General features: G+C 36.0%; 1 protein-coding gene and 1 long non-coding RNA gene across 11 annotated transcripts in view, besides 1 other annotated feature; one reads left to right on the forward strand and one right to left on the reverse strand.

Annotated features, from left to right (window-relative positions):
- HDAC2-AS2 (HDAC2 and HS3ST5 antisense RNA 2) overlaps positions 1 to 27833 on the forward strand; it is a 371029-nt gene that overhangs the window by 306637 nt on the left and 36559 nt on the right. The window lies entirely within an intron of this gene.
- HS3ST5 (heparan sulfate-glucosamine 3-sulfotransferase 5) overlaps positions 1 to 27833 on the reverse strand; it is a 287428-nt gene that overhangs the window by 220742 nt on the left and 38853 nt on the right. The gene's annotated exons all lie outside the window — the stretch shown is intronic.
- Positions 5803 to 6304: an enhancer, noted in NCBI's record as "NANOG hESC enhancer chr6:114603304-114603805 (GRCh37/hg19 assembly coordinates)". NCBI's record gives its function as "activates a minimal SCP1, AML or CMV promoter by ChIP-STARR-seq in naive H9 embryonic stem cells {active_cell/tissue: H9 hESC(naive)}" and the evidence as "EXISTENCE:reporter gene assay evidence [ECO:0000049][PMID:30033119]".

The following is a 27833-nucleotide window of genomic DNA, read 5'->3' on the forward strand; positions in this document are numbered from 1 at the left end:
TGCTTATAATACTTCATATGCCATGCACATAAAATGTTATTTATATATTTATTGGTTAAATGAATTAACATTTAAATATTGGCATCGTAAGTGAATAAGTATTCAGTATCTTTGTAATCAATGGGTAACTCATGCTTTTACACATAATAAGAGTAATCTTCTGATCAGCTATTAAAAAGCAAAAAGCATTTTTTTGTATGAGTACAAATTCCATTTACATAAATTAGCCCATGACCTGCTACAGCTAAATCTCCAAAAGCTATGAGAGTGTGGGAAAAAAAAAAACAAAAAAACAAAAAAACTCTCAAATTTTGGTGAAAGTTTCCAGATGAAATATATTAAATGACTCAGCACTCCATTTTCAATTTTCTACTCTTTAACTCATATTTTATAAAATATAGGACAGTTTCTACAGCAACAATTGGGGTCTAATTGGCACAAAAGGCCTATTTTTCAAGCATATGCATTTGTTCCTTTTTTCCTACTTGATCCACATAACCTACCTTGCATAAAATATTTGCTCTTTCCTATATCCTTGTATTTATGTAAGGAAATAATGGAACGATGGTCAGCATGGGATTAGTTTAGATCTTGTTGGAAGATATTATGATCATCTGGCTGCATTAGGAAGCTACAACAGGAAGGGAGTGGTGCATTTGGCAAAGAATGAACATCAATATGACTTTTCAGCTTTACCCTTTCCCCAGTCTGACTTTCTCTCACCTCAATGGAAATTCTATAGTCAGAGTATTTTGGGGTTTTTGTTTGTTTTGTTTATAAGACCACATACCACAAGATTCATGGTTTTTCAGGTTAACGTTTCAAATATTTGCAGAATCACTTCCTCCTCTATAAGGATGATACATTATTAAAGCTGTTTTTTTTTTTAATTCTTGATTTAATTCTTGTTTAAATTCTGTAACCCAAGAGTGGCTCTTCTGAGTTAGAGTATCAATATGGTATTGTCTGCCCATGGTGGATAAGTAATAAGCAGAACTAGGAAAAGGAAAAAATAAATTATATTTCTTTTGCTTCTTTACAAGAGGAAATATTAGGTTGGTGCAAAAGTAATTGCGGTTTTTGACATTACTTTTAATGGCAAAAACCGCAATTACTTTTGCACCAACCTAATACACTGCTGCTTACAACAGAAGTTATACAGACAGTAACAGTAATTATAACAGTCATAAATTTTTTTGTATAAATGCAAATATTAACTTTTTCCCCATTCCTTTTTCCCATTCCATTTGTATCTCTGGAGTTAATGGATACATTCATGGGTTATAATGCTTCTTGCACAAAACATTTATTTCATAGGCAAAGGGAAGGGGAAATAGTTCCCGATAAGGGAATGTATTCTAAACTGCTCCGTACTTGAGTACACATGTGGAAATTTCACTAACTTCGGGAAAAGCCATATGCAGATATTATTCAAGGTCGTTTTAAAAGAGTTAGCTCCAGAGAGTTATTCTTATATCCCTTCTTGAGCAAGAATGCTCTCATTGCAGGTTGCCTTGTCGAGGTTATAGTTGTAATTACAAAGGAACAAAAAGATGACTATTTTTTTTACTCTGTCATTTTAAAATGTATGTTAAAATTTTCCAAACATGAAATGGTCACCCTAATTATCACTGATGACAAAGCTCTGTGGTTCTCATTACTTACCTTTGATGAAGGCCACCTGCGATGGGCTTTGAGGGGGCAGGTTAGTGGGAGAAACAATAGGTGATTAAACACTGCCACTCATGACTGACAGCTGCTTCCTGACATTCGGGTTAAGTCATGAGGGAGGAAACCCAAAAGGGGCAAAGGAGCAGGTTTACATGTGCTCTTCAATTATTCTTATGCGATTTATATAGCTCCATAAATGAACACCATGCTGTAATAAAAAATAAATGTCAAAATCAATAGAAATCCTTGCTGTTCAATTCTTCTACTTCTTGAATTTGAATGTAGGCAATTTAAAGCATTATTCTTTTTCTTGTCATTATTATTAATTTTTCTGCCTTAAGGTTACATTTTCTGCATAATTTTGCTTGCAAATTTAACAATTCTTAGAAGGTTAGAGTCAAAAAGAACAGAAAAATTTCTCCCAAATAAATAGTGAAGTCCAACAAAATAAAATGAAAGTGGAGGAGAATTTAGAAATTAAGAGAAATGTGAGGTCTTTTCATATTTATTTCTAAAATACTGATACTTCAGTATTCTTTAAAAGTCCAGTAAAGTGAGGGACCATGAACTCATAATAAATCTCCAGGGTTTTAATTTTTGGTCAGCTGCATTCTGATTACTGCATACTAATTTCCAGAAAGCCAAAGGCTGAGGGCAGGTTGGGTGAGAGGAAGCACACTGCTGAAGTAGAAATTAAACAGACAGGGAGTGATAAGAACCTCTGAGTGAATTTATATTAAAAAAGACGAAGGCTAGGGGAACATACCTTTTTCTCTGCATATAATTTCATGCACACATGTAGATCTCAAAGGATTCCTTTCGAAAACCAGATGGAAATGTGTTCTCCACAGCAAACGACAGAATGCAGCTAACAATCAGTTTATCAGTAAGTCACCACTCAGGAAAAGCTCCCAAGCTTGGTAAAGAATCAAGCACTTCAAGAAGAAAACTCCTTTTATTCACTCTTTTTCTACTTTACTGCATCAATTCCACTTAGATAAATAGGCAGTAAACTATAGGATTGCTAATCAACCTTTAATGGCAACAAGTAGTCAATTTCTTTAGTTGGCAATTAGACAAAGAAATCTGGAGCTACTTAAGTATGTTAAAACTTCAGGAATATTCCAAGTTCGTATTTTTTAAAAAAAATCAGCATCTATGCCAATATTTAGATGTGTGTGCTTGTGTGTTTATCAGCATTGAATTGAAAGCAGGAATGTATTTCTGTCTGTACAAGCAAAAGCAAGTATATGCAATGTTACTAAAATGTAAAAGTGCTGCTTCAGGAAATGCCCTATAAATCGTGTTTGTTCTTAATATAGTACAAGAGAAATAAGGAGCAGTAAATTGCACCATGGGGTTCTGCCACAGAAGCAAAATTTCAACTTTATAACCTGTTCTTTCTATTTAGAGAAAAATAGGTGGAATCTGTGCTTTATGTGTTATACACAGTTCTAAATCTAGACCATGCGGTGATGGCATCTAACAAAGCTGTCCCAGATTTTTGTTGCAATTGCAGTGAGATCTAAATGATAAAAATGCCAAATGGGGGTGTTCTCTATTCTGGACAGTCCCCACATTTCTATTAGCTCCTGAAGGCTGTCCCCATTTTATTGCTTCCTGAAAACCTCCTCATTATGGTCAGGACATGGCCCCGGTATGGCTGGATTTACCTTGAAAGGAAGGAGCAGAAGTAGGAGTACCAGATATAGGACATGTCTCTTGCAGCAGGGCAGTGGTCTGGTGGGAGAGGAAGGGCTACCTTCCAGAAGTTGGGAGATTTTGGACAAGCTGGCTCCAAACAGTGTGCTCATTCATTCAACAAATATTTACTGAGATATTACTATGTAGAAGCACTAAGACAAGTGGTAGAAACATCATGGTGAATCCTGCTCCCTGACCTCCAATATTATGGAGTAGCTAGGAAGGTTCCCATACAGATCAGAAATGGGCAGGTAATTCTAATTCAGAATGATAAATGGGACCAAAGCTAAATTACATGGTACTGGAACTAGGAAAGGATACAGGAAGGGAGGCCAAGCCAGCCTGGGAGGGCTTCCCAAAGAAGTGATATCTAAGTGATACCTGAAAAAAGTGAGAGTTTTCCAGGATAAAGATGTGTGAGAGAGTGGGGGATGAGGTGTGGGGGAAGATGTTGGAAAAAAGGTATTCCAGGCAGAGGGAAAGAAAACACAAAGAATGTGGAAAAGGTAAAATTGTTCAGGGTGATTTCACTTGCTCCTGAGCACAATGGGATACTCTACCCCAGGATACAGGGGGTGATACAGGGCAGGAGATGGCAGCCATGAAAGTTAAGAAAGATTTAACAGGGGCCTAGTGAGCTGAGCCTGAAAGGAGACTGTGGGTCAGCATCACATAGCCTTTCAACAGGTAAGATGAGGGCTCTGGCCCCAGGCTAAGATTCAGGAGGTACGCCCTCTTCCAACAGGCAGAGGGACACATTGCTGGGAAAGAGAATCTGGGCCAGCAGGAGTTATTCCAAATCCAGTTCGTCAAAGACTCATTCCAGTGGCATAACGATGGTTACTGAATGTTAAACTATTAAGTTACTTCTGACTACATTTTGCTGCCTTACACATCATAAATGGTGTATTTAAAGTTGATTTCAGTACAATTATTTTCCCCATTCAAAAGTAAGATATTTCTAAAGGCAGTAAATAAGAGACTTCATCTCTTCTCCTTTGGATGAGCCTTCAGAGATCTGATTTCAATTTGTATGCCTTTGAAGGTAATCTGACCTGCTTATTCACGATTCAGCATTAAAACCAAAGTAGGGCGCCTTCAGCTGTAGACAGAGCTGAAGTAATAAATAAGTAATAAATTCATAAAACCTCAAATCATCATCGAACTAACATTGCAATCTGTAAATGTAAGCTTCACGTCAATGGGTTTGTGGTACCTTTTGAGGGCACACACTTCTGCTTCTTTAACATAAGATAGTAGCCTTGTAAGTAAGGCTTATAAGAAAGATAAGCCTTATAAGTTTGGCCAAGTTCTTATTAGAAGCAGATTTTGAGCATGAAAGTAAGAGTTTCGATACCATTTAATTTTGGAATTCAGAATAAGAAGATATATTCTAGGATATGGTAGACCATTTCCCCAAATAACGTACCATATCTCCATCTCTGATCCCTTCCAATGTATCTCAGTGTTTCACTTACTTCATGTTACCGCATCCTTAGTCCGTAGTATAACTTACATAATAACATGTAACAAGAATCTTCAATTAAAATAACTGATTTTAAATGAGCTGTACTTTACAAAGTATGCCAGTGTAGTTGTATAGTGTCAGATCTAATTCTTGGAATGATGGTTCTGTATAACACACTTTTGTCCTGATAGTTTTAAAGGTTGTCCTAAATGTAGTGAAAAGTTTCTTTAAAAGGTTACAAATGCTTTTTGGTAAGCTTTTACATAGCTTGACAACAATAAAATTCTTTTCTCCCTGGAGATGTAGACTTCGGATTCCTTGTTTTCCAAGCCTATTTTCCAATCACCTGTGGCCACATGGAAAACAGCTCACCACTACACTGATGTTAGGGATAGTGAGGAAGTGGGAAATCAAACTTGGAGAGAGAGGTAAGCTTTTAAACTCTGCTGTCAAGAAGAAAAAGAGGAAGTAGGACATATTGCTGCTACCCTCTTTTTTCCACCTTCCTTAGTCCAGGCATGGTGTGAAATCCCCAAGGGAACACCGCAATATGTTTTAGCTTTTCTCAGTCTGGCAAGGGCCCCAGGAACACACTGCATTGTTTATTTCAGATAAACCCTTTGCTGTATTCAATCCCCAGAAAACACGCATGACAATTAACATCCTTGCAGAAGACATTGGGAGACGGCAGGAAATTTCAAGTAGGAAGTGCACTCGAGGGGAAAAATAAGCACCTTTTACAAAAAAAGCAAGGTGCTGATGAGTCTTGGCATTTGGATGAATCAAAAACAACTGGGATTTTTGAACACTTTAAAGCAGCGAGTTGAGGTAGGCGTTTCAATTTGCTATGGAAAAGAAAGTATATACTGAAATAATCTTTAAATAAAACTCAGAAACTGTATGTGTATGTATGAGTTTATGGGTATGTATAATAAATGTATATAATATTTGGAAACCTGTAAGTATCTTATGTGGAGAGACTAAGCGAAGAAACATTCTTTCTAAAATGAATCACATATTAACATAAAAAATCCCATTTTTCTTGTTTACTTTGAAGGCTACCTCTCAAAAATGTAACATGCAGCCGCTGGCATCTTTGCATCTTTGAACTCACTATTCCTTTTTCAAGCAGTCTGAGTTGAATCCTGCATTCTTGCCATATGCCAAGGGTTAGACCATTAATATGTAAAAGAAGCTGGTATCCAGAGAATTGACTTTATAATTGGAGAACGCCAAAATAAACCTAACACTTCTCAAACAATGCTACCCCACAGCATCCCCGTTCTCTTAGGCTATTAGGCCATGTCCAATTTTCTCGGTCTGTCGGAGGATACAGCTGCCTCCATGTGCCAGCGAAGCTTTAATTACGGTGACTTTTCCTCCCCCTGGAAAGCCTCTTCCTGTGGTTTGAAAGTTTGAATTATTCAAGCCCATGTTAATACACTGTATTGAATGCTCTGTTTGGCCCACTGAGGTGCACTTGGAACTGTTCTTTTTCCACAAATTTGATTTCTCTGTCTCCCTTTTTCCTCCTCCTATCCTTTCTCCCTCCCCTTTCTTCCATTATTAAAGGCAGGAACCAAGGACCACTTTGGTAAGCTTTTACATAGCTAGACAACAATAAATCATGGATTTTAGTGTAGCTAATTTCTTACAGAAAGTATGTGAAGTCACATGCAAAATAATCTCTCAACTAAAGTTTCTCACGTAGAAAAAAGCTTTTTTCCCTAAACAGTTTTTTTACTAGAAGTGACATAATTTATATACTTTGGTAGTCAGAGTTCCAGGACTTCTAAACATTTTTCTTTCAAATCCAAGCTATAAATTTGGTTTGACTCCTAATATAGAATCAATAAGAGAATTCTTGATATTTTTTGTTGAAGCTACAGGGAGAGAAAGACAGTAGAGAGGGCAGGAAAAAATAAAAGAATACCATTTTTTAATTTTAAAATTATTTTTAAATTTTTAGTTGAATGAATGCTGTTTAAATACCAAAGTCTAGATTTCAGTCTTTGATTAGGTTTTTCATCATTTGCTTAAAATACCAACCTTGGTTTTCCTTTATTCTAATTTTTTAGGTTTTGAGCTGTCATTATGATTTATTTATAACCAAAATCACCATCAAGATGATATATATCATTGCACTGACAGTAATCATAACTTCTAAGCTTGGTTTGTCATTAATAACCTGTAAGACCTCTTGGCAGCTTAGTAACAATATAAATGCTATCAAGACTACAAAAATCACATAGGATTATATTCAGCAAAGTTTATTTTCAAAATTATAAAGTAATATAAATTAACATATTTTTGCTATTATTATTTTTTCATGTCATAAAATAAACATCATCTTTAGTTTACATTCCAATTCACTCAGTTAAATAAAAATGTTTTGGAAGTTTTTCTCCAATGTTTGCTTACAAAAATAAGTTACCAAGTTCACAATGCAGACAGTCAAATTATCTTCCATTCCTACACAGTGAATCTGTTCTTTTAGGAAAAAAGAAAACGACAGGGAAGAAAAATATGTTCCTTGAAAATTCCTAATGAGATGTGCAATTCTTCTAGTTAATAAACAGAGCATTTGTGAAATTTATTGCCTGTGCTGAGAAATACTATTAGAAACTGATTCAGGATATCAAAAAAATGATACATTTGCAAAAAGAACCCCAAATCTTTTTCAGAAGCAGGTGGATTATTTAGGCAGGAAATACAGAGAGGAAGAACTTATTAGAAATAACATTGCATATATCTGAGGCAGGAAAAACTGATGAGGGAGTCACCCAATTTTATCAGACAGAGTTTATCTCCATTCCACGTAGGTCTAGTCACTGGATGTTAATTATATGTGTGCCTTGTAATTGATCAGGAATCTAATCTTAAATGTTCAACATTAAGGAAAAAAGGAAATACACCTTCCTTTAAAGATGATAAAATGATTATATACTCATATGCCCTTACTCAGAAAATGCTTGGCCCACCTTATAGGGGAACTTAAAAGCCATTAAAGTATTTTAAAGTTTAATACTAAGTCTATTTTGGCTTCATTTTTCACATTAAAAATCCATTCTTCATTCACAAACCCATTCACAATGTACAAACCCAAAGGCTTTCATATCGAGACATTATTTTACCAAGAATGTATTTTTGTGCTAGTTGGAGAGTTGTTACAGTCATCTATTTTTTTAAACTTTTTTTGTGTGAGTTCCTTTTCATGGTGAGAAACTAGTTATGAAATCTTTTATTCTCAAGTAATTGTGCTGAAGGTTGAGAAGCTTGTCTCAGCCACAAGATCTAGCCTTAGTCACAACTTGGCACAGAAAACCTTATGACCACTCTCTACTATGCATTGCCTCAACCACAACCCAAGGGGAATGGAATCTTCCACCTCCTAAAATTTGGATCTATGACCATGGAACCCAGGGAAAAGAAGAGCTAAATCCTTCTTTAATATTAGTGTTACAAATATTTATATTGTTTTCCATAATAAGCGGCATAAAGTAAAATTACAACATGAGTTTACAGTCATAATAGTTATATTGTAGAGGTAAAAAGTGAATCTCCAAGCTGCTCCTTATAACACACACATGCACACCACACACACTCATATATATGTGAATATATACATATAGATCAGAGTAGAACAGTACTAAATCTGAGAAGAAAATTATTAAACTTAATAAAATTAAATCAGGAGAAAAAAGACTGAGAAAATATCCATCACACTAAAATCTGGATTGATCTTCAGCTCATTTGTCTATATAATATGACCCATTATCTAAGGGGCTAGGATATTCTATTTGTACGCTATTTTCAAGCAAATGCCATTTTTACAAACTAAAATAGATTAGCTAGTAAATATCTGAATGCTGAATCTTACTGCTAGGCATTTATCCAAAAGAATTGAAATCAGGATCTTGAAGAATATTAGCATTGGATGTTCACTGCAGCATTATCACAATAGCCAAAATGTGGAAATTACCTAAACTGTCGTCAACAAATGAATGTATTAAAAATGTGGTATATGCATGTTTTCACTTATAAGTGGGAGCTGAATGATGAGAACACATGGACACACAGAAGGGAGCAACATACACTGGGGCCTATTGGAGGATGGAGGGTGGGAGGAGGGAGAGGATCAGAAAAATAACTAATGGGCAGTAAGCTTGCTACCTGGGTGACAAAATAATCTATACAACACACCCCTATGAAACAAGTTTACCTATATAACAAATCTGCACATGTACCCTTGAACTTAAAAGTTAAATTTAAATAAATGTGGTGTATACGTCCAGTGAAATACTATGCAGCCTTAAAAATGAAGAAAATTTCTGCCATATGTGTCAACATGAATGAACCTTGAAGACATTGTGCTAAGTGAAATTAGCCAATCACAGAAAGATAAATACTGCATGATTCCACTCATATGAGGTATATAAAATGGTCAAATTCCACAGCGAGGGGAACAACACACACTTGGGCCTGTCAGGGTGGGGAGGGCGGTGGGAGGAAGAGCATCAGGATAAATAGCTATGCATGGAGGGCTTAATACCTAGGTGATGGGTTGATAGGTGCAGCAAACCACATGTTTACCTATGTAACAAACTTGCACATCCTGCACATGTATCCTGGAACTTAAAATAAAATAAAATTTAAAAAAATTATAGTACATTTAATTATGAACCTTCATGAAGCCATCGCAAATAGTGGTGAAGTCAATTGCTAATGACTTGGAAAGACATCACTAAATGAACAAAATAGGTTCCAAAATGCCACATGCAGTCTGATCCCATTTATTAAAAAAAATCGAAATATACACGTATGGAAAGATAATGAAAAGATATATGCAAAAACTGTCTAATGCCATAATCTCTAGAGGTTGGATAACAAGTGATACTTACTCCTTTCCCGGTGTCTACTTTTCAATAAAATTTCCATAATTAACATGTAATGCTGTTTTTGATAAGAAAATAAGAAAAGTATTTTTAAGAAAAAAATTAATAAAATGGTCAAATTCATATACTCTGGAATGGTGATTATCAAAAAATTATCCATTTTATCAAAAAATTAATAAATTTAATAAAATGGTCAAATTCATATACTCTGGAATGGTGATTATCAGCGGCTGAGGGGAGGAAAAAATGGGAAATTGCTAATCAATGGGCATAAAGTTTTAGTCCAGCAAGATCAATAAGTTGTAGAGATGTGCTTTCAGCATTATGCTTAGTCAACAATAATGCATTGTACATTTAAAAATTTGTTAAAAGGGTAGATCTCATGTTAAGTGTTCTTGCCAATATAAAATTTAAAAACGATTTAAATGGTTATTAGCCACATATATCATATTATATTGATTAATTTGCTTAACAAATTAAAAAGAGAAAGTAAGTATGTTTATGTTGTACCACAAAGAACCTTGTTTTTCTTTCCAATTAAATGTATAAGAAAATTGTTAAAATCTATCCTTCCCTTTTACAAACTAGCATTGAATTACCAGTGACTTATTAAATTTTTTTCCCTCAAGCATACAATTTTGCTTTTCTCATTTTCTTGTGGTTCATTTTACATTAGAACGAAATAAGTAATTAATTTTAAAAAGAAACCTATGAAGTTACAACAAATGATAAAAGTCTGTCTTAATATTTATCATGAATAATATTTTAAGAAAAAAACAACTCGCATTTTTGTCTGCTAATCTTACTTTTGTGGAGCTGTTCAGATGTTAGTAACTTAGTAACATTCCAATTTTAATGCATTAAGAAGAAAGGTAAAAATGAAATAAAAATTAGAATGGTACAGAGTAGTTTCTCTTTAGATGTTAAAGATAACTGAAGTTGTGCTTGAAGGTGTCTTGTATAAATTAGTGTACTCGCCTTTTTTCTTCTTATTTGAATAACATAACCTTTATTCAAGTGCATTTTAGACAATTTAGAAAATACAGACAATTATAAATAAGAAAATAAAAATCACTTTTAAGGTAATTATCCAAAGATAAGTACTATTAATATTATGCATTCATGGCAGTAATATAATTTTAATAACATTGAGCACTTACTCTGTACCAGTCACTCTCCTAATTATTTATATATATTTAATCATTAGTTTACAAACCCTATCATTGTCTCCATTTCGCAAATGAGGAAATTAGGGCCCAGAAATGTTTAGTAGCTTGCTTAGGGTCAAGGATCACATCTCCAGTAAGTGGAAAAACTGGGATTTAAAACTGGGCTCTTTGAACTACACCAGAGATTGTGCTGGAGACATAACCACAACTGTACCACATGAAGTCTTTTTCTGTGTGTAAAACATAAAAGGGCTATAATTTATAATGTACATACTGTTTTATAACCTGTTGTTTAATCCATGTAACATATTACAAATATCTTCTGACATTGTTAAATAATCTCTTATCACAGAAGGTGAAAAAGAAGCATTTTGACTTGCTAGAAATCTTGTGGTATGGCTGTTTCTGGCACGGGATGATTCAAGAAGCCTGAAACAAAGAACACTCTCTATTTTCTGACATGTATTCAAATCAAACAAACATCACCCTCTTTAGGCAAACAAGTTACCATAGCAGAACCGACCAATGGTCTGATCATTCCAATATCCTATTTCTGAAATTGTCCAATGCTGGCTATTTTAGCAGAAGACATAAAATCCCCCATAAAGTGCCTAATTGTGTGATACACTGTAGTAAGATGAGAATGTCCCCTTTGTCCAGCATCTTATCTTCTACCACCTAGAAACTTAAGAGGGAATCGTCCTTGAAATTTTATCTTACTGAAACTAGCAATGTGTGAAGATGTTATTTTACCACACACATATCCACTCGCATATACGCTAAAAGTGTAAAGAAATGAGTTTTATTCCTGTGTAGCTTAAGAAAGTCAGGAATTACTATAGCTATCTCTATCAATGTATAATACATAGAATATACATGCATAATTAATCCATTAGGACTATGCAAAAATATTTGTTAAGTAATGTAAAGCAGCAGTGTGATCAACAGGTAAACAGCATTTGATAGAGTAATCTTTTCCTCCATTAATAGTGTATCATAAAATACACTCTTTAGGAGAGATAACCAAAGGGCAATTATTGAATGGCAAAATTCACTGGGTAAGTTTCTACACAGTGCAAATCAGAAAATCAATGCAATGGTACATTTTATTTTATGAACTGCGATTATATTATATTTGGATTTTCATGTGGTTCTAAAAATATCACTAGTATATTGGCATGCTAGCCAGGCAGACAGCAACATTTTAAAGAGGGCTCCAAAAAATAAATTATTTGCTATCTTTCCTTTTTCTAATGAAAAAGGACATAAGAACATAAGAGACTTGTACCTTCCACTTACTGTCTCTTGGAATCCTTGCTCTTGGAGCTCTGAGCTGCTGTGCATAGGCAGCAGACAGAGAGTCATGTAGATATAGATGTATGATACCAGATCCATGAGCTTTGTGAGGTACTTGACCAATCTGACTACTAAAGGTTTCATGAAGAAGGCATTTATGCTATCTCTATACTGACTCTTTTCCAAAATTTCTCACCTGCTTGCCTTTGTTGCCATTCCCAGAAATGATTAGATGTTAGATATAGTCTGTGCCTAAGAATCGAATAAAAGTAATTCAGTCCAATAGTTATGAGGACCATTGCCTCATAACCTTGGGACTTTTTCCTGACCTAATCAGCTGCTAAGTACTCATCTCTGCTTCCCACAATAGCACAGATCTGTAGCTCCCGAAGAACACAGCTGTGCTTTATGAACTTTGTATTTGGAAAGCCTCACATGGTTCCTGGGACAGAGAACATTTTCAACACATTCTTATTGGAACAGTGCCTGACACATAGTAGGCCCTTGATGAATGCTGACTGATGGAATATTTGAATGGATGAGTGAATATATTTAACCATTTACTGCATTTTTCTAATGTTATCCTTTACATTTCCATCTAGAATATACATATTTTAAAATCTATTTCATAGAAGATATCATAATACAACATTGTAGTTTTACACCAAAAATACACCCACTAAAGACAATTCAGTCACAGCTAAAAAAATAATACACATTGGATACTGATCAGTACTATTTATAAATTTTTCCTTGGGTAGGAAAAATGATGCTGCAACTGCTTCCAAATCAGCAACGTGTACAGTTGGTTCATCCAAGAAACATGAAAATATTATATGTTCTACAAGAACAAATAACTGGATTTTAAAAAAATTCAAGACATAAAATTTAAAGACATCCCACCAATTATCTTCCTCCTCATTATTTTTAAATGGCCCCAGTCAGTGAGCAAGCATTTATAGAATTAATTCACCAAATATTCTCAACTTCTTCCAGCGTATCTGGGAGGCTGAGGAGAAGTCATTCCAAGAGGTTGGTTTCCTTGTAAATCACAGATGATAAAACCTTCAGTCAATCATAACTTGTGTTTTAGTTTGTTTCAGCTAAAGGACATTAATACTTGTTATCTATCTCCTCAGGAAGACTGTAAAGAAAAGTAATTTCCAGAACCCACTTGCTCACTAATGTGAGCTCTACAAGTACAAAGCTCATACTTCATAATCATTACCTAAGGGACAGATAGAGCTGAACTCAGGAAAGTTAAAGGAAATAAATTTTGAATTTTCCAAACTATCTTCCTATGGGCTTTGAAATCAAAGTTAAATATTTTTCATTTACCACAGTTTTAAATTTAGCACAAATATCCAATGGGTTATATAATAGTATTGTACTTCAAATGAAAAACAAAAATGATAGATTTCTTTTATAATAATGATTACATAAGCTCTGGGGTTCCAAAAAGCCACAACAACTTATTATATAAGAATTCTTTGTCCTCAGTAGTCACTGAAATGCAGCACAATTATAAATGGTATGTTTCTATAAGTTCCATACTTATGTACTATCTTAAAATGATTACATAAATATGGAGAGATTAAACCACAAGGTTTTTTGTGGTTGTTGTTGTTTCTATTGTAATTACATTTTTAGAATCTAATTACCATGCCAAAAGTGGTCTTTTCGAAGACACACTAAACACAGTATGAATCAGCTTTGAAAAGTGTGAAGTGGACCAAATGCAGTGGCTACTGCTTTTACTAGTGCAGGCTGAGGAAGACAAAAGGTTCAATCTATTGCTCTTTTTTGGAATTTCAGAATAATCAATAAACCATTAGGTTTAAATGGAGAATTCAGAACTTCTTTAAAGATGTCATGGTACAGACACTAACTAAAGTCCCATCCTGAAATTTTGTCTATAAATTATGCCTTTCTGATCAAGATCATACTAAAATTGGAGTACTAACAGAGAAGATCACACAGAAACCGGTAATGCCAAAAGGGGTTTTATTTTCTTCAAGGTTGTTCAATTCAGTCTCCTGTTCCTCACCAGCCTTGTCCTAGGAGAATTCACACTACTATGAATTTTTTTTAATGTGATTTGAATGCCAGATGGTATATCAGAGTTGATGCTAAATTTTTCTTTCAAAACACAGGCTCATTGGGAACACATTTTTTATTTCTAAAATTACAACTTGACAATTACTAGGTGCCACTTGTATTGGTACTGTCATATCCTCCTAAGAAAGTTTTAAAAAATAAAAAGGAGATGGTTTTATGTACAAGAGTTGTGTTACTATTTTTTTTTTAAGCAATCAGCCATTAACCCTTGTGGGGGAAAACTGCTAAAAATATGTTGTAAACAATCTATTATTTAATTTGTTTCCCACTGTTACTCCTGATTGCACTATCAAGCAGCAGTGGAAAACTGGGGCTGGGAACCTAACAGTGCCCAATTCCGGGGAGTCGACCCTACTCAGTCTCTTTCTAGGTACACCAGGTACTCTTTCTGTCCCCTGTCAAATGGGCTCTCATTCTCAGGCCCTATCCAGGGTAGGGCTGCCTGATGCTCCTTTTCTCTGGAGATGAAAGAAGTCTCATCACAGTTGGGTTCAGTCCCGCTTGCCCAGCCACTTAGTACAACTACTAGTTGGGGAGTGCATGATTTCAGAAATCTTTTCTTTGGAGCAAGCAGAAGGCTGATAAAAACAGACACACAACTATGTGCATTTCATGCAAGGAAGCCATCCAATCTCTGAAGAGAGTTTTTGTTTTGTATTCATACTAACAGTAATGTAGCACACCTAAGGACTTAAAGGGTAATTACACTCAGTATTTATGCACCCGCAAGTTATTAGTGGCTGTAATGGAAAGAATAGGGAAGAAAGTCAAGTCAGTCATTAGTCTGACACATATTTATGAGGCTCAGTATTAAGCAGGGACTGAACCTCGGGTCATCTAGTTCCATTTCCCCCATTTGATGGGGTATTCGATTTGTAGATACAGGCAATGCCATGGAGATGGCAGAGAGTGATTTCTGCAAGGCATTAGTGAGCTCTTTGTAATGTCTAGACAGGATGAAGAAAGGTGGGCTGCCTACTGGGAAGATTGATAAGAATGTCTGATAAATGGATGGTGCCACCAGGAAAAAGATCTGAAATGTCAGTCCTGGGGGCTCAGAGTTCAGCTCCTCTTCATTCAGCATTTGTTATCAGTTCCTTAAATAAAGGCAAAAAGAGCTTCTAGATCAGCTTAATGTAAAGCTCTAGGGCCTTGAATTTGAAACTCTGCTTTGACACAGTCTGCACATTTCTGTTTTTTCACACGTAAGAGAATAACAACACGGACATTATAGAGTTACTCTGAGGATGAAAGGAGATAAATGTTGGCACTAAGTGCACACTTTGCAACCCAAAGTATGTTCTAAAGAGCAAATCTCCATAGGACATAGACAGGAAAACTAGCTAATATGGTTTATAGCAAGATGAAAATTTAAAATGATCCCACATTTTAAAATAAAAAATGAAATAACATTTAAAGGGAATAAAGACATTGTTTAATTGTTAGTAAGTTTCATAAGAGCCAGTTCATTTTCATGTAATCAGTAACATCTATTGTAGCCCTTTGTAGACAATAGTATTTTTGTCCATTTTGTGGTGCTATAACAGAGAATCTCAGACTGGGTAATTTATAATGAATGGAAATTTATTTCTTACAGTTTTGGAAACTGGGAATTTTAGGATCAAGACTGTGGCGTCTGGTGTGGGCCTTCTTGCTGCGTTCTCACGTGGCAGAAGGTGGAAGGGCAAGAGAGGACAAAATGTTGTGTTCTCACATAGCAGAAGAATGAGAGAATCCACTCCTGCAAGCCCTTTTCATAGTGGCATTAATCCATTCAGCTTCTCTTAATGACCCAAACACCTCCCAAAAGTCCCCACTTCCCAACACCATTACATAGGGAATTAAGTTTCCAACACACAAATTCTGTGGGACATACTAAAACCACAGCAGATGGATATTCAAAAAGTGTTCACTGAATGAATAAATGAATATTAAGGCATACATTCAAGTGCCAGAGTCATTTTCATAAGTACTGGGGTTATGAGAAAAGATAGCCCTTCCCTCAAGTTACTCATGGTTTGGTGGTGGACAGACATGTACAGTCATCCTTCAGTATCCACAGGGGATTTGTTCCAGGGCTTCCCGAAGATACCTGAGGATGCTCAAATCTCTGATATAAAATTGCACAATATTTGCATATAACCTACCAATATCCTCCTGTATACTTTAAATCATCTCTAGATTACTTATAAGACCCAACATAATGTAAATGCTATATAAATCGCTTTATATTGTTTTGAAATTTGTATCATATTTTAGTATTGTATTGCTATTTTTTGTTTTTTTTTTTCCCAAATATTTTTGATCAAGTTTGGTTGAATCCACGGATGTGGAATCCATGGATACAGAGGGCTGACTGTACATTAATGATCATAATACAGTGTAAGAAGTGCTAAGGTAGAGAGGTGCACCGTGCACAGGAGCTCCACAAGTCCACAGGAGATGCACTTAACTCAACTCTTTGGAAGAGTAAGCCATGGGATAGAGGAGTGGTGTCTCTGAGCTGTACAGGAGGTAGTCAAGTGAAGAGAGGGGAGAGAGGGAATGTCAGGAGTTTCAGGCAGAAGCAGCAGCCTAGGGCTCAGAGCAGGAGAAAGAGCACCAAGTGTTCAGGACACAGAGGCTGGTTCTCTATGACTATAACTTTAGAGTTTAAGATGGAAAGTGGTTTTACATGATATTGGAGACATAACCTGAAATAAGTCATAAAAAGTCTATGGACTAAACAACTAAGGAGGTTGAAAAGGATTTGGTGGGCAAAGGGGAGTCACTGAAGTCTTTGATTCAGGATAATTATTAATATTTGTTTCAGAAAGCTTAGCCTAGCTGCTGGGAATACATGAATTGCACCTAAGACCAGTCCTGAGACTGTTGTAGTAAAATGAGTAGGAAGTGACAAGGTCCTAAGCTAGGGAAGTTCATGGGGCAACTTAATTGTAAAAGTTAGGAGAGACCTGGATTGGTGATTATGTATTTGTGAATTATCTAAATATGGATAATAATACATAAGAGCATATAAAATCACTCAGTAAGTATGTGCACTGTATGAAAAGCTGACAGATACTACCTTGGAAAATGCCAACTCTGGGCTTTAAATAGTGAACTCAAAGAAGAGCCTGAGAAGAAGCAGAAAGAGGTTTCAGGACCCCAAAAGAAGAAAGAGCCTCAAACAGCCAACCAGGTCAAATGCTGCAGAGAGACTAATATATTCAGGGCTTGGTGCCCAGGAGACCATCAATATCCCCATGGAGACACACTTCAGGAGAATTTAGGTCAAAGGAGAAACCAAACTGTGGTACTTTCTGGAGTGCCTTGCAAGTGAGGAAGCATTGGCATGACACAAAGTTATGGAGATATTTTAAACTATGGAAAGAGCTGGATGAGAATATCCACCCAGAAGGGCAACCAGGAGGGCACCTAATCTCAATAACGTGTTAAGGAGAAACACTTAAGGAGAAGCAGCTGCAGGAAATTTGGAATGTTTCAGATGATTGAAGATGTGATCACTTTGCTTGTCTCCAGGAGATGCCATTGGGAAAAGAGAGCTGATGCATTGGAAGCAGAAAAAAAACCTGCGGAATTAGTGTTCACCAACACCACAATGCTTACACTTTACTAGATGATGAACTTTTTGTTTCTGAGGTATTCAGGCAGAGCCTGGACAAATGTCTGATGAAGATCTCAGGAGACATTCCAGCTTTTGGTAAAAACTTGGATTAGATGGTTTTTGGTGTGTCCTCTTGAACTCCTAAAATTAATATGGCTAAGGTCAAGGTTAGAAACTTTTTTTTTTTTTTTTTTTTTTGAGACGGAGTCTCACTCTGTCGCCCAGGCTGGAGTGCTGTGGCGTGATCTCCGCTCACTGCAAGCTCCGCCTCCCGGGTTCAGGCCATTCTCCTGCCTCAGCCTCCCGAGTAGCTGGGACTACAGGCGCCCGCCACTGCGCCCAGCTAATTTTCTGTATTTTTAGTAGAGACGGGGTTTCACCGTGGTCTCCATCTCCTGACCTCGTGATCTGCCCACCTCGGCCTCCCAAAGTGCTGGGATTCCATTTAAAGGTATGCATTTCTGATACAGAAAGAGCTTTCTCATGATCCTGAAACAATGTTAATACCATGCAATGTTATATCACTGATTTTGTTTCACTAATGTTGGCTGAAATTGGTCAAAAAGTTTTTTGGAAATCCTTACAAAGATCAAATATCTAATTCTTCTATGTATCTTTCTTTTTCTCTAAATTTTGAATAAATATCTAAAGGCGAGGATGTCTGTGCAATTGAGGATTACAGTTCTCTTATTGAATGGAGCTTAATATCATTAATATTATTACATAAGGTAATTACTTATGTAATAATGGTGAACACATAATTAACAAGGCACTAAAAACTTTTTTTTCAAACCCAGATAGCTGGCATCAGAACAAAATCACACACAAGAGCAAGATTTTATTCTGAGAGAGTGTGTGCCTACATTTTCTCATTCATTCTCTTTCTCATTGTTATGTACTCACACACATTTAATAAGGTAAAATATATTTACAGAAAATAAGGGGAAAAATAAATTTGAATCAGAACTGTCTTCTCTAATGCCCCTTATTCATTTCAGATATTTTATTAATCAATAAATTTTGTCTATGAAGTAATAATAAATGTCTTTTAAGTGAGTAGGCATTGATAGCAAGCACATTGAGTCCTCAGTAAACTCAGGCTCCCTTCTCCAAAAGAGATAAAGCACTTGACATAGGGTGAGGGTAATAAGACCAAAGATGGAGAAAGACTGTATTGACCATGGTAATCTTTAACTTGCCACATTTACAGATGTATCAGATAGGTAGAGCTTCTTCCAAAGCAGAAACACTTATTCAAAGCTATATATAAGAAACTGACATATCTAGATACTGCTGCTTCAAACGTCAGATTGTTGTATAATAAGGTCATCTTTAGCCTGTGACCACAAATCTCCTAATATCTGAAATAACAACGTGGAGAATAACTGTGTAAAAGCATGCAAACTATATAGAAGGGAAGGAACTACTCAGGGCCATGTACAAGCAATTACTTCCTTAGTATTCTTAATGACAGTGCCCCTTGGTGCTCCATAAAGTAGGTCTACTGTGACGGAAGCTGAAATGATTGCTTTGAGACTGCCAGACCATATCCAAGTGGCTTCTTCACAGCTTGTACAATCTTCAGGGCTGCACCAAGTGGCAAATAAGATAGTCATAAGTGGAAGGGAGTTCAATTATTTGAACAGGCCCATGTGTATGTCCCACGGGTTTCTACTAGATTTGAAAGTTGCTCCTATTGTGAATCTATGCTTCAAGTAGCTAACCATACAGAATGTTCTAAAATAGGCAGCAATAATCAGCCAAACGGTCACCTATCTCTCAATGTAATGGCTGCTATTCTACTCAGCACAGAAAACACACTCACAAAATTTACATTTCTTACTTTTTTTGAGTGCAAAAATAGCAGAAGTTCATCTCACTGTTCATAACTACTAGCTATATTAACATTTTTACTCAACAAAGGCATGTTATGGCCCACTCTAAATATGGGTCCATGTCAACTATACTTCAATCTAATAAGCAGCAATATTTATAGAATGCCACGTCATAGAAGTAATCAGACCTCACACAACAGATTCACTGAGGATTATACCCATTTTTATATTGGTTTTGCCCTGGAAAAAAAAATCCTGGGGTATAACTAATTAAATAAAGTTATTAACATGTCTATAGTACATATGTATACTTACTTATGAATTTTGCTGGTAAGTTCAGAATCAAAATGTATTCATCCATCTCCATAACCAACATAGACTCATAAGTATAATCCATAGAAAGGAAAATAAATAATTTCAAATTAGTAATAGGATTTCTAAAATTCATGTGTGGATATATATTCCGAAAGATGTTGTTTTCCCACTATTCATTTTATCTTCAACATAATGCTAAAAATTCACACCCTGTAGGATGCTAATAAAAATATCTAGAGAGAAGATATAATCACCCCTGTTAAAGTAAAGGGCACAGCCAACAGCAGGAATTTGTGAGCTTTGAAATCCAAAAGCTTTGCCAGGTAGAAAGAGTCAAAACAAATGATACTCAAGACGACAAGACAATGTAAATGAAAGCTCCTGCTTGTAAGTAAATGGAGGTGAAGCACGAAATCATGCATGTCTTAAAACCACAGACTCCAAATTTTAGAACAGAAAGGTAACACAAAGCTTCAGCCTATGCCAGAGTGCCTTCAGGAGCTTGGAGGATAACACTGAACACAAAGGTGAAAGTTGAAAGGGGGTCTTGCAGCAAAATGGGAGTACACGCTTCTCTGTAAAAACAAACAAGAAAAAATAAAAATAAAAACACCGTTCTGGATCAGAATCAGCAAATGGATCACCTCATTTCAAACACTGATCAGGTCCAGCCTCATCTCTTTATAGAGAGATGGACAGAGGCCCAGAGAGGCTAACGGACTTCCCCCAAATCACACAGCTAGCCCACAGCAGAGCTAGACATTTACTTCAATCATTACTATATATGAGTGTTTTTTTTTTAGATATACACCGGACCACTACACACTAGACAAAAATAATGCAACACAAGACAAGAATGATTTCTGCCTTCACAGGGCTCCGGTTTAGAGGGAGAGACAGGGACGTACACAAGCAAGAGAATCTGCTGAATAAGGCCATTTCGGATACGCAGGGAACACCTGTAGATGCACCCAGCCAAGCGGTGTCCTGAGGCATCTGTGTTAGCACCATGAGTGACAGGAAGAGGAACAAGATTGGGAAACTGCAAAGGAGCAAAGGGAAAGCAGGCTTCATGGGGAAAAGCATCTTTCCAGACTTTTTTCATTCCTTTACTGTAGAGTTAGTATATATTTTTTTCATACATTACACAATGAATTTACCCATATCTAATGAAGGCCTTTCTCCTGTGGCTCTAAAATTGTATGATCCCTTTGGAATCTACTGAGTGCTTTCTATGGACAAAGTACCATACTGGATATGGGGAATACAGAACAGGCTTGGTTAACGCTTTCCTTCAAGGAGCAACAGTCTGATAGAGAGACAAGGTATCTACACAATTTTGTGTAAACTAGAAGATAGTATGCTAGTCTCATGAAACTGTTAGTGGCAGCATAGCCCAAGCTGCCAAAATGACTAATAGCCAATGAATACAATAGAATCTGACACATTGTTTTGGGAATAGTAACTGGAACATGCTTTTAGGAACTGCAACATTAATTTTTCTATGAATTATTCTTTTTCCTATAAATGGAATTAATATAATTGTTTTAAAAGTTCTTCCTCTAGAAGATGGTTGTCTCCTGTCCCTCTACCCCTGCTGTGACTGCCATGAATAAATATTAGTATATTTGCAGCATTTGAAAGTAATTGAGATTCCTTGATCAATTAATGTGCTATTTTAATGTTTGAAATTAAAACAAATTAAACAATAAAAACTGGCAGAGGCAATTTCCTTACTATTAGAAGGTATAATTTATTTTTATAAGAGAAAAAAATCTTAGTAAAATAGAAATATATAAATGACCATGATGATTTTTGTTTCAAGTATGCATATCTAGCACTGTTCATATTCTAGGTTATATTTCATTTTGTCTGAAATATTTAAACAGCAATAAAGAAGATCCATCAGAATTTGTTTTGGCCAATTTTCCACAGATACACTAATTCTGTAACACAAAACAATAACATCATTCTCATTTAACACTTAAGGGCACTTATTATGTGTCAGACATTGTTCTAATTAGTTTACCTATAATATCTCATTTAATCTTCACAATTCTATGAGGTAGGTCCTGTCATTATTCCAATGTCATAGATGAGAATTAAAACACACACAAAACATCATATAACTTGCCCAAACTCATACGGCCAAGTGTTAGAGTCAGGATTCAACCTGGCAGCACGACTCCAGAGTATACACTCTTGTCCTATGTTGCGGGAAGGCAGGGACCCCGAATGGGGGGACCGGCTGAAGCCATGGAAGAAGAACGTGGATTGTGAAGATTTCATGGACATTTATTAGTTCCCCAAATTAATACTTTTACAATTTCTTATGCCTGTCTTTACTGCAATCTCTAAACATAAATTGTGAAGATTTCGTGGACACTTATCACTTCCCCAATCAATACCCTTGTGATTTCCTATGCCCGTCTTATCCTGTCATCTCACAAGCTGAGGAGTATGTATGTCACCTCAGGACCCTGTGATGATTGCGTTAACTGCACAAATTGTAGAGCATGCGTGTTTGAACAATATGAAATCTGGGCACCTTAAAAAAAGAACAGGATAACAGCAATGTTCAGGGAACAAGAGAGATAACCTTAAATTCTGACCGCTGGTGAGCCGGGCGGAACAGAGCCATATTTCTCTTCTTTCAAAAGCAAATGGGAGAAATATTGCTGAATTCTTTTTCTCAGCAAGCAACATCCCTGAGAAAGAGAATGCACCCCTGAGGGTGGGCCTCTAAAATGGCCCCCTTGGGTGTAGCCATCTTCTATGGTTGAAACTGTAGGGATGAAATAAGCCCCAGTCTCCCATAGTGTTCCCAGGCTTATTAGGACAAGGAAATTCCTGCCTAATAAATTTTGGTCAGACCGGTTGCTCTCAAACCCTGTCTGCTGATAAGATGTTATCAATGACAATGGTGCCCGAAACTTCATTAGCAATTTTAATTTCGCCCTGGTCCTGTGATCTCGCACTGCCTCCATTTGCCTTGTGATATTCTATTACCTTGTGAAGTATGTGATCTCTGTGACCCACACCCTATTCTTACACTCCCTCCCCTTTTGAAAATCCCTAATAAAAACTTGCTGGTTTTACGGCTCCTGGGGCATCACGGAACCTACCGACATGTGATGTCTCCCCCGGATGCCCAGCTTCGAAATTTCTCTCTTTTGTATTCTGTCCCTTTATTTCTCAACCCGGCTGACACTTAGGGAAAATAGAAAAGAACCTACGTGACTATTGGGGGCAGGTTCCCCGATAGTCCTGTACTAAGTAACACTATCCAATAATTTATTTTGGAAGAGATAAGACTGAGTTTTCTAGTGATGATATTCTTTGTGAGCATTCAAAGTGTTGGGCATTAATTAAAATACATAAAAATAACTAGAAATATACTATACCTCAGTGAAATTTCTACATGAGGTTAAGAAGAAAATGTAAGTTTTGTGTTCTTATCTGCTCTTTCCTATGTTCACTGCTAGTGGCTGCTAGGAGCTAAATGATTTCTATAAAAAAAGGACTTCCTGAAAACTGTTCCCTCTCTCATGTTCTAACACCAGAGAAATGGTCCTTAAGTGCTGGTGAAGACAGCCTGATAATACAGCAAAGGAAAAATTATGCAAGTCTAAAAGACTAAGGGTTAAAATGTAAAATGGCTTAATATGCCTAGTATTTTAGGCAGTCTTTTTTTTTTTAGATATGACACCAAAAGTATGGATGAGAAAAGAAAAAAACCGGATTTCATCAAAATTAAAACTATTGTGCTATAGTATTTCAAAGGACATCATCAAGAAAATGAAAAGACAACCCAGAGAATAGGAGAAAATATTTACAAGCCATCTATCTGAAAAGAGTTTTGTATATATAACATATAAAGAATACTTTAAATATACAAAAAAATCCAATTCAAAAATGGGCTAAAGATTTGAATAGACATTTTCTCCAAAGAAGATATTCAAATGGTCAACAAGCACATGAGATGATGCTCAACATCATTAGTAATTAGGGAAATGCAATCTCAAACTACAATGAGATATCACTTCACCACCATCAGAAAAGCTAAAACAAAAAAGACAGACAATAATAAGTGCTGGTAAGAATGTAGAGAAATTTGAACCCTCATACATTGCTGGTGGGATTATAAAACGGCACAACCACTTTGGAAAACAATTTGTGAATTCCTCAACACACAAAACATAGGGTTGCCATATGACCCAGCAATTCCATTCCTAGATACATATCCAAGAAAAATAAAAACTTATGTCCACACACACAAACGTGTACATGAATGCTCACAGCAGCATTACTCATGATAGCTAGAAAGTAGAAACACAAATACTTACAAACTGATGAATGAATAAAAGATGGTATATTCATACAATAGAATATTACTGTACAGTAAAAAGGAATAAAGTACTGATGCATGCTATAACAAGGGTGAACCTTGAAACATTATGCTGAGTGAAAAAAGCCAGTCACAAAAGACCACATATTGTATGCTTAGATTTGTATAAAATGCTCAGAATAGGAAAATCTATAGAGACAGAAAGTAGATTAGTAGTTGCCTAGAGCTAGTACGTTGGAGTGGGGGAGTCTGAAAAGTGACTCTAACGGGTGCAGGGATTACTGAGGGGATGAAGAAAATGTTCTAGAATAAAATGTTCCAGAGATTGTGGTAATGGTCACAGAACTCTGTGAATGTACTAAAAACTGCTGAACTGTATGCTTTAAATAGGTGAATTTTATGGTATGAGAATCACATCTCAGTAAAGCTGTTTAAAAAATAATAAGCAGGTTTCATCAAAGGTCAATTCTGTGCAAAATGTATGTTATTAATAATAAGTTCATTTTTAGTTCATCTTTGTTATTTTTCTAGGAAAAGTTAATTTATTTCTAAAGGTCATTCATAGGACACACTAGGGTCCCCTGGGAAATGAAAGTGTTGCACTGGAGAAAAGATGTCCTCATTTTCTCAGTTGTGGATCCACTGTCAAACACTTGTTGTCTTAGCTCACCTGAGTCAATCCTGAACAAGGCATATTTAATTTGAGAAGCCTCATTCCCAGTAGCAAGTAAGGTCTAAGAGTGAGCCTTGGTATCCTAGGCAATTGTGTAAATTTAAGGGATCTACATCTGGAAGAAGCCATAATATTCTCCCTATTGCATCAGCACCAGAGCTCCTTACCCCACACTCTTTCCTAAATATGGTAAAGCTTTGGTTCACTTCTCTACCTGGGGCTGAATCCTTGACCTGATCTCCATTTCAGGGACACTGACACTCTCCTTAGCTCTCATCATCCATCTCCTGAAAAATCTGGACATATGGCTGAGCCCTCAGCTGCTTCATGGGGTTCTCTTCAGAATGGGACAGGTCTCCCAGGACCATGACACAGCCTGCCACATGCCACCATCCACTCATCATCACCACTTAAGTGTGTCTGCCAAATTTAGAGGAATGGAAGGGCAACCAAGGGCTTTTTAAGAAGAAAAAATAGCCTCATGAATAACTGCAAGTTGATTTTCAGTGTTAAAACTGTAACGTGTATTTATTAGATCTTCGCTGGCTTTCAACATCATTGTTGACTCACAAAGTTTACTCTCCAAGCTGCAAATCATACTGTCTGCTGTTGTCTCCAAGTTTTGCAAATATTTGAAGTTACCCAGAAAGGTATTGAATGTATTCTTGCCAAACTGGCAGCCTACAAACTCAATTTTTCAGTTTTGCAGGAGTCACACATTCATTTTATGTGTGATGACCCTAGACACCCTTAATATATTTGTTAGGCTCAACTAGGTAATGAGAAAGACAGAAAAATTAATCGTTTCAATCAACATAACCCTCAAAAAAGTAGAATCAAGGTACCAGTAATCTATCCTTGCTGAAAGCCATTGCAAATTATTATTTCATGATCACTAGAATATGGCAGTAGACATGAAATGGTAAGAGAAAGTCATAGTTAAGTTTATTAATAATAAAGTTTGTCTAGTTTCATTTCACCACCATGGCTATATCCAAGCACATATGCAAAATTAAACTATCAATCACCTGCTACTTAAGTAAAACCTAGGACAATAATTCAGGTATGTAAATGTGAGATTAAAAGAAGGACATCTGGAGAGCAATGTGTAATAATGAAAATTCTTCACAAACATTTTAGGGAGCAGAGATGCGGGGTACAATTATTTTGAAAGAAAGAAAAAATTATTTCATTTTCTGGGTAAGCTTCAACTGTCAACATTTGCCAAGAATTTGTGAGCAAAGGACTGTCTTTCTACTCTCCTTTCTCGTCTTCATTCCTATAGCATCCTTACGGGACATCTTTGGTCCTCCAATCCTTTATCTCTTAGTAAAATCATTTTATGTCTTCATTATTCATAGTTGAAATATATTATGACAATCCTTTCTCAATTAAGAGTGAAAATGTTACAAACTGAATATGGATGAACAACTTTAATGTTACTATTGTGAGTTGTTTGCCCACATTTAAAATGCTCTTAGCTTCTTTTATATAACTTAAACTTGTGTAGTTATTCTTAATGAATTCTTGAGACTAATTTGGCTCCTGGAAACTCAAAAAAGTTTAATTTGTTTAAACTAAGATGGACTGAATACTGCTTTTCTAAATACATCACTTTTTAAAATCCATGACGGAGACTGGCAGGTTGGATGGATTTCTGCACTGGGGTGTAACCAGGTTTCACCAAGTCCGGCCTCAACTCTACCTAAGCTTTCAGCTCTAGCTTTTATATATATAATATTTTAGTAGAAATGGATTTTGGAGCCTTTACTAAAAGTATTTCAGGATTCCCAAAGATTTTTTTGTGATTTCAAATAAATAAGGTGATTAACGCATGTTTGTCCCAGATATTTATACTCTCCTTCCTCAGTCCCCCCACCCCCACCTCAAAAGAAACCTGCCACATTTTAGCTTCACTGGTTTCCTATTGATTTAAAGTCTGGATTCTTAACCTAGAACTCTCATGGACTTAGGAGGTCCAAAAACCTGAAAATTTGTAAGCAAAATATATCATACTGTGTTTGCATTTTTTTTTTTCTGGGCAGAGTGACTATGGCTTCCACCTGATTTAAAAACAATTTTTTTTTACTTCAATATGTTAAGAACCACTAGTTTAAGAGAATATAAGAAAAGGCTCTGCAGGAAGAAGAAAGTACTCAAGGAAAATGATTTTTCTTACAGGGGTTTTCTCACGTTGGTACTTATCAGGGCACATTACATCATACTAAGAAGACAAACATCCTAAAGAATTTGGACCAACATTGGTGCTGCAAATTTGGATGTGCTTAACTTAAATTCTACTATAACACTGTCTACTTAAGATTATTTATGAAATATAATGCATGCAATTATTTCTAAAATATCTACAAAATTAATCTAGCAGCTTTATCTATTGAGCCTGTGCCCATAAATCAGAATGTGATTTTCCATATCAAGCCTTCAGGAAGACAAAGAAAGATAAATTTTATTATTTAAAAAATGCATGTCACTGAGGGAGAGTTTATAAAACCACAGTAATGACTGGCTGCAGTAGTGGTGTGATTCCATGTGGACCTCAGAGAAGAGAACTAAATCATTCAGGACTTCCCCATTGCTTCCATATGCACAGTCATTTCTCTGTAACTGATACAAATGTCTCTGGGAGAAATACAAGATGTCAGAAGTATTTCTGACTGACCTACACTCAATTAGCAATTACTCAAAGGTCAGTCAGAAAAGAAAGAACTACATCAAC

Source organism: Homo sapiens, chromosome 6 (genome assembly GCF_000001405.40).
Source record: "Homo sapiens chromosome 6, GRCh38.p14 Primary Assembly".
Lineage (NCBI taxonomy): Eukaryota > Metazoa > Chordata > Mammalia > Primates > Hominidae > Homo > Homo sapiens.